Source organism: Homo sapiens, chromosome 11, assembly GCF_000001405.40.
Source record: "Homo sapiens chromosome 11, GRCh38.p14 Primary Assembly".
Classification (NCBI taxonomy): Eukaryota; Metazoa; Chordata; class Mammalia; order Primates; family Hominidae; genus Homo; species Homo sapiens.
This window is the reverse complement of record NC_000011.10, coordinates 125,832,356-125,840,598: the sequence shown is the minus strand read 5'-3', so window position 1 is coordinate 125,840,598 and position 8,243 is coordinate 125,832,356. Positions and strand designations below refer to the sequence as shown.

At 41.1% G+C, this 8,243-nt stretch overlaps 1 protein-coding gene across 1 annotated transcript; it reads right to left on the bottom strand.

The window, feature by feature from the left end:
* Positions 1-526: 526 nt before the first annotated feature.
* PATE4 (prostate and testis expressed 4) lies at positions 527-7,283 on the bottom strand. Its single transcript, NM_001144874.1, has 3 exons — positions 7,182-7,283; positions 2,615-2,731; positions 527-2,293 (listed from the first exon to the last, which is right to left on the bottom strand). Exons 1-3 carry the CDS (start codon positions 7,237-7,239, stop codon positions 2,172-2,174), a joined length of 297 nt encoding a protein of 98 aa, NP_001138346.1. The 5' UTR covers positions 7,240-7,283; the 3' UTR covers positions 527-2,171.
* Between the last annotated feature and the right edge of the window lie 960 nt (positions 7,284-8,243).

Below are 8,243 nucleotides of genomic sequence, written 5' to 3'. Positions count from 1 at the left end.
CTGTGCTCAGGACCCTTCCAGACCTTGCCCTATGTACCCCTTCATCTGGCTGTGCATCTGTATCCTTTAATATATCCTCTGCAATAAATCTGTAATCGTAAATTATCTCCTCAGTTTTGTGAGCTGTTCTAGCAAATTATTGCACTTGAGGAGGGGAATGTGGGAATTTCCAGTTTGGACCTAAGTTGTGCATAACCTGAGGACCCACAATTTGTGATTGGCATCTGCAGTTGGGGGGCAGTTTGTGGGACCGAGCCCTTTGTCTGTGGGGTCTGAATTAACTCTGGACAATTAGTGTCAGAATTGAGTTAAATTTTAGAGCACTCAATCAGTGTGCACTGGGTGATTGGTTAATTTGTTGGTGTGGAAAACCCCACATATTTCGTGTCAGAAGTGTTGTGTGTGAGACAGTATAGTAGAGAAAACAGTGATTTTTTCCTTTATAATTAAGATAAAAATTGTATCACAAGTGAACGGAGAAAGGATAGACTTTGTAGTCAATGGTGTTAAAAAATCTGACTCATTCTATGGAGAAAAATAATACTGGATCTTTACTTAAGGCAGTATTACAAAGGTGGCTTCACATAGGTTAAAGACTGAATATAAAAACAATAACAAATCAAAACAAAGTCCCCAGAGACCCTCACAGAGGATTCTTCAGAGAGGTGGGAGAACTACAAATGTACAGTCATAGGAGCTAGAGAGGAGAGTTTTAAGAAGGGGACTGATATGGTTTGGCTGTGTCCCCACCCAAATTTCATCTTCAATTCCCACGTGTTGTGGGAGGGACCGGTGGGAGGTAATTGAATCATGGGGGCAGGTTTTTCCTGTGCTATTCTCGTGATAGTGAGTAAGTCTCACAAGATCTGATGGTTATTATAAGGGAGAGTTTTCCTGCACAATCTCTCTTCTCTTGTCTGTCACTATGTGAGACATGCCTTTTACCTTCTGCCATGATTGTGAGGCTTCCCCAGCCACGTGGAACTGTAAGTCCGATAAACCCCTTTCTTTCGTAAATTGCCCAGTCGTGGGTATGTCCTTATCAGCAGCATGAAAACAGACTAATACAAGGACATTAACTGCTAAAAGAATTTCAGTGAGTACACAAGCTAATGAGGAACTGATAAATTGAGCTATTAGGACATCATGTTTGATTGCTTCAGAACATAGCAAGGCACCATTTACCACAGATACACCTAAAGGATTATCTGCAGCATGTCATGAAGTTTAAAATCCACAAATTGATCTCCACATTTATTCATAGCATGTGCTCTGTTATTCCTCTCTTCCTGCAGGTCACTGTAAGCCCTGAGCGGTGGATACTGTTGTCACCTAGACTGGCCCCTGGGTACTCAGGCTTACCAATGATTTGAATTCCTAGAAGTTTATTTGGATTGTATTAGTTTCCCATTGCTGCTATAATAAATTATTGCAAACTTAGTGGCTTAAAACAATACACACTTTGTGGCTGAAAACCACACCCGCTTAGAGTTCTGGAGGCCAGACATCCAAAATGAGTCTTACAGGGCTTAAATCAAGGTGTCAGCAGGGCTGGTTTCTGGAGGCTCTGAGGGGAGAACCTATTTCCTTGACTTTTTCAGCTTCTAGTGGCCTCCTAGTTTTAGCTTATGGCCTATTCCTCCATCTTCAAAGCACATGGCTCCAATCTCTGCTTCCATTATCACATCATCTTTTCCTCTTCTTTGTCATATCTCCCTTTACTTGCATCTTATTGCATTTTGCATTTTGATTCCACTTAGGGCCCCCCCAGATAATGCAAGATAACCTCCCCTTCTCAAGATCCTTAATCACATTTTCAAAGTCCCTTTTGCCATGTAAGGTAACATTCACAGGTTCCAGAGATTAGGATGTAGAAATATTTGGGGGTCCATTATTTAGCCTACAAGGGATAGAAATCAGAAATCAGGAGTAGAAGACAAAAGAATAAGCATAGCTCATGGAGGATTTTGTTTCAATGCTCATGATTTTAGGAATCTAGTGGTGGAGGTGGGGTGTGGGGAGCCCCTTCATTGCAATGAGGACAGCCCCTGCAGCTCTCTCTGGGATCTTAGGCCAGTGTGGAATTTGGTGTGGGAAATAAAACAGTTCATGTTGGTTGGTCTTGATTCTGGATCTTGATCAGATGATCCTCTGCAAGTTCCTAAGCTCCATTAGAAGACATTACAGAAGTTTCTGTCACAGCACAGTGTCACTCTCAACAGGCCTCTTTTGGAGGACTCCTCTTCCCGGCACTTATACTTACACATATGTGTTGAGTACATATGTTTGTCTCCTGAAAATGAAGAAGCCTGTTATAAATGCTGGAGGAGATTGCCTTACTAGTGACTTACTAAAACTCACCACCAAGAGGAATAGCACTTAACACTGGGTCTCCTTCCCGGCTCCTGGGTTCATGTTCCCAATCGCCACCGTAACTGGCTCTGGATACTAAACCCTACAGTGTGAAGTTGGAAATTATCCCTTCTTGCCCCCTCTTTTATTCCTTGCCTTACCTCCTAGCAGAGCTAAATGATATCGAGTTCTTTATTCCAGGCACTAGCAAGAGTGATGGTTCTTTGCAGGCAATTTTGGAGTCTTCATGAGCCCCACTTACCCCTGAAATAGGCTGTTGTTGAACATAACTCATTTTCTTTTGCAATGCAAGTGCCTCGGCCTGCCATACACTTCCATCCTTCTGTGTATATGCAGGTATTACACTTCAGACCCATAACTGCAGGGTGGAGAGAATAGAATATTCAGGCTGGATTGTGGGACAATGGAAAAGTGAGTTTTCAGCATCAGTAAGAGGTTGCATATTGACGATACTGTCCACTCACTCCATTAGCTGGTATTTGTGGAATTCCTGATTAATTTAGCTTTGTAAGTTAAGCTAGGAGGTGGATAAAAAAGATAAGACACAGTCTCTGTGACCTGAATAGGGTCCATTTATATTTGAAGGCAAGATAAACATGTGAAATAATAAAAGAACAGCAAAGATAATATATAGTCAACCAGATAAACCCTGTGATGCCAATTAAGAGTATAGCAACAGGCAGATTACTGTGGGCTGGAAAAGCAGGGGAATACTTTAGCTAAAGACTTGAGCTGGCTCTTGAGATGTAGGTTAAACTTGGGGAGGTGGGGGCAGGGGATGGGCAGAGAAGGTGTTCCAGATAGGTAGTCATAGTGAGGGAGAACACAGAGGTAGGAATGAAAACGGCATGTTTAGAGTGGACTGTCTGAGATTACACCCTCTGATAGCTCCATCTGGCTTGGTCTGGCCTTTCTCTTTTTTCAGGGAATAACTGCAACCAGGCAGACAGAGAGGTGATTTGGGAGTCCCTGTGACCAGGAGGTAAGAGGAGAGGAGATTTAGGGTAGGGAGACGACATTGGAGCCTATGGGTAATTTAGATTTAAGGACTAAGTGATGGTGATGATGGGGAAAGTAGATTATTTCAATCTTCATCTCAGACGTTCCAAGGTTATAGAATCCGAATTTATATGGAGCCCAGGAGGACTTGAGTGCTATTGATTTATGTCCAATTTTGGGAATGGTCTTGTGGCATCTCTTCATTCTAAATTCCATTCTCACTATTCCATCAAGACTATCTTGTTGCTAACGACCTCTTAATGATAAATCCAATTGCCTTTGCATAACCCTAAAGTTTATTCATTTTTTCGTTCACTCAGCAATGTTGAATTGAAGTGGTGAGAGTGAACATCCTTCTCTTTTCCTCTTATTTAGAGGGAAAGGATGATGTTAGTTGCTGGGTTTTGAGCATGTTCCACATTCTGGACATTTTTTTAGGTGCTGGGAATGCAAAGATAAACGTGTTTATATACATGCTGGGGAGACAGGCATTAAACAACCCCTCCAAATTATGTACAGTTGTATTATAATATCAAGAAATAAACTTGCAATGAGAGCATTTAAGAGGGAAGAACTAACGTATTTTAGAGAGCCAAGGAAGGTTTCTGTGGGGAGTGGGATGTAAGGTGGGGCCTGATGATAAATAAGAGTCAGCCAGGTAAGTGGGTGGTGTGGTATGGGCACAGTGAAGAACATTTCAGGCAGAGGGAACAGCAGTGAAAAGAAGCTTGTCTGCTGAGGGACAAAAATGCTAATGTAACCGGGGCACAGAATGGAGTGGGTTGTGCTATGAGACATGGCTGGTCAGGTGAGCAGAGATTCAACTTCCTGAGCCCTCCTAGGCCAAAGACATGAGTATGGTTTTTGATCCATGAGCAATGGGAATTTATCGAAAAATTTTAAGCAAGGAAGTGATCTGATCCTATTTACATTTATCTAGCAGGTCAACGTGGGACTTAAAAGGGGCAAACAGAAAATAATTTTATTCTTCTGCCCACTACCCATCTGAGTATTCTTTCTAAAGCTAGTTCTCCTAGTCCTGCAGGTAATTTCAGGCAAGGCTCCTAACTTGTCTATGTACTTTTAGAAAAAAAAAAAAAAAAGTCTTGCCATCACTTTCGGGCATAAGAATAATCTGGGTTCAGTAATTTATGCATTGAGTGCCATGCAATAATAATAAAATAGCTCTATTAAAAGCCCACGTTTCTCACCAACAACCCGCTCTCCCTGTATGCATGCCCATGCACACCCACCCACCCACACACACGTATGCACAGACACATAGCTCAGGCTTGCTTAGGTGTTTGTAATGGGCAGGAGGGGGTGGCTTTAACTTTTTCTCTATTTCTCTTCTTGGTTTCCTCCTACTCACCTCTGGCTTATGAGTGATAGTTTCTGACCCATTTCAGTTGGTGAGAAGGAGGGGGACAGGTAAAGGACAGGAAAGATGTCATCGGACTGGCTCTGGTGCCGTCATCTTTTGTCTATGGTAGTTACTTAAAACCCAATCTCTTGGACTTTGTATTTAATGAAAGCTGACTCATTTTCTTGAGCCAGGAGAACTCATTTTCTTGAGTTCCTTGAGTCAGGAGAACATTTGCGGGTTCTTCAGGATTTCCCCCACAAAAAATATTCAAGTCCACTGCTGTATCGTGAGTGGTGTATTTCCTGCAGCTGGTGGTTATATTTTCTCTCAGCTGTAAGAAGGTAGTGGCCCACACCTTGCTAGAATACCTTTTTCCTCCAGACAGCGCTCTTGGATAGAACTTTAAACAGCTCAAGCCTGACTTGCTTGATATGGCATGGCCCAGATCAGATCCAGGGGAATGTATGCACATCCTCCCTGCTTGTATGTAATGCAACTCAGCTGTCTTTCAGTTCCACCATTTCAGGGCTGTACCCTCCGGCTCCCTCGCACCTTTGGGTTCCTCAAGCTCACTGTGCCTTCCAAACACCAGAGGACACTATCAATTTCTCCCTGAAGCAACTTTCATGAGGCTTCTCTCTTTCAGAGGAGTTGGGAGCAGGCTGCGCAGTACACTGATAATGCTCTTCGAATAATTGTCTCTTTGATCTTTAACCTGAGTATTTCCAATTTCAACATTCTAAAAATGCATTATTTAAAAATAGGTAATACATTGATGTGACTAAATAGTAAGTAATAGAAAAAGAATGTTGTGTAAAGTTGATCTCCCACTCTTGCCAGCTAGTTATCCAGTTTTCATCTGCCAAATAAAGGAAACCAGTTTTATTCATTTCTTTTATATCTTTTAGATTGATTTTCAGTATATTCAAGCAAATATAAATATGCACATGTATCTTTTTACCCCCTTTTCATAATTGGTAGTATACTATGCATACTCTGCACTTTGATTTTTTGAATAATGTATACTAAGTGTATAGTATTCCACTGTAGTGCTGTACCATGCTTTAATTAACCAGTCTCTTATGAGAATTTAAGTTATTTGCACTTTTTGATATTATCTGCTGCAATAAATAATGCTGAACATATTTCATTTGTGTGGGAGTATATCTATAAGATAATTTCATGCAAGCAGAATTGCTGGATAAAAAGTAAACACTTTTGTAATTTTGATAGGTATTGCTGAATTGCCCACCAGAGGAGATGTAACTATTCTGTTGCTATCAATGCTTGGAAAATTCTTGTCTCACCACAACTTTAATACTCAAATATTTTATCAAACTCCTGGATGTTGACAATCTGATAGGTCAAAAATGGTGTATCAGTGTTCTTTTAATTTGCATTTTTCTTAGTATGAGTGAGATTGAGCACTTTTTATATGTTTAATAGCCATTTTCATTTTCTTTTGTGTGAACTATCTACATACTTTGCCCATTTTTCTATTAGGTTGTTGGCCTTTTCCTTTTTGATTTTTTTAAAGGAGGCATTACATATCAGGGATATTAGCCATTTGTTTGATGTGAGTTGCATTTTTAATTTTTGCCATGAGGAATATTTTGATATTCATGTGTCAAATTTGTCAGTTTTTCTTTTAAGAGCTCTGGATTTTGAGTCATAGTTAGAAAGGTCTTTCTCATTTCTAAGCTTACAAACAAATTATGTCACATTTTCTTATAATTCTTTTATGGTTTATTATTTCTTACTAAGTGTCAAAAGGTAGCAAAATAGAAATATAAGGTAGAAATATAATCATATTTGAAGCACATTTAATAGGTAGAAAGCATAGGAATCATTCACTAATTTTTAGTGAGTGTTAAGGGAGAGGGAGATTTCAAGGGTGACTTCCAAGTGTAGGAGGTGTTTGTTGATGAAAGACTGAAGCTCAGAATAGAAATCTGGCTAGGATATAAAACTGGGCATTTTCAGCATATAGATTGTAATTGAAGCCATGGAAGTGGGTAAGTTGATATAGAGGAGGGTCTGAGTGGATAGTATAAAGCCTTAAGGTATCCCAGTGTTTAATGATCAGGTAGAATAAAGAATCCTACAAAATACACTGAGAAGTAGCCAGAGGAAAGGAAAACTAGGAGAGTGTAGGAGATAATAAAGGAGAAAAGTATATTAAGAAAGAAAGGGTCCAAAATGAGATAAGTATGGATGAAAAGTCAATTAATATGAAGTTGGAAAATTGTCCTGTTTCCCTGCAATCAGTAGTACATTTTCTTCCGGATTAGTGTGTTATATATGATCTCTCTGACATCCTGAAACTCAGATTGTACTGAGTCTTTGGGTCTCAGCTGGAGCATGTGAGTGAGACTTGGAGAGTAGAGGTTTAGAGAACAGCACCCCTAAGTTGCCTCCCTCCACCCCCATTGTTCAAACTTACCCTCTTTGAGGTAGAGAAAAGATAAGCTCACAAGGAGCAGTGTGTTCATTTTCCTCATTGGATGCTTGTTTGGGTGACAGACGGTGTGCTGAGTGAGGTATTGGAAAGGGCAGCCACTAGCTTGCTTTATAAAGCTTAGATGTTCGATCACAGCCAGTAAATAGAAAGGAGGGAGGAGTCCCTGATAAAGGCATGAGGCAGAACCGTCCTTTCCCCACTCCCTTCTCTTAAGGAGCCATAAATCTGTACTAATGTGGAAAGTGCAGGCTGGTGAGCAGTGTCAGGGAATGCTTCTGGCTAAAGTTGAATTAGATTTCCACCCCTGACTCTCCATCCTCCCTCTGCCTTCCCTGCCCCATATCTGTCTTCTCCTCACTTTTTTTTTTTAAGAGACAGGGTCTCACTCTGTTGCCCAGGCTGGAGTGCAGGGGCTCATTGCAGCCTCAAACTTTTTGGTTTACACGATCCTCCTGCTTCAACCTCCAGTGTAGCTGGGACTACAGTCGCTACTCACCCTTTTTTCTCTATGTGTCTGCGTGTGTGTGTGTGTGTGATTGTTACGGTTTGATTGTCCCCTCCAAATCTCATGTTGAAATGTAATCCATAAAGTTGGAGGTGGGGCATGGTGGGAGCTGTTTGAGTCATGGGGGCAGATCCCTCATGAATTGCTTGGTGCCATCCTCATTGTAATGAGTGAGTTCTTGCTCTGGTAGTTCAAGCGAGAGCTGGTTGTTTAAAAGAGTGTGGAACCTCCCCTTCCCTTCTCTCTGTTGTTCCCTTCTCTCTCTTGCTCTCATTCTTGCCATGTAATACACCAACTCCTTTTTTGCCTTCCACCATGATTGCAAGCTCCCTGAGGCCCTCACCAGGAGCAGATGCCAGCACCATGCCTCCTGTACAGCCTGCAGAACTGTGAGCTAATTAAATCTCTCTTCTTTACAAATTACCTAGTCTCTGGTATATCTTTATAGCGATGCAAAAATGCACTAACAGAAAATCGATACTGAGAAGTGGGGTGTTGCTATAAAGATACCTGAAAATGTTGAAGAAGCTTGGGAACTG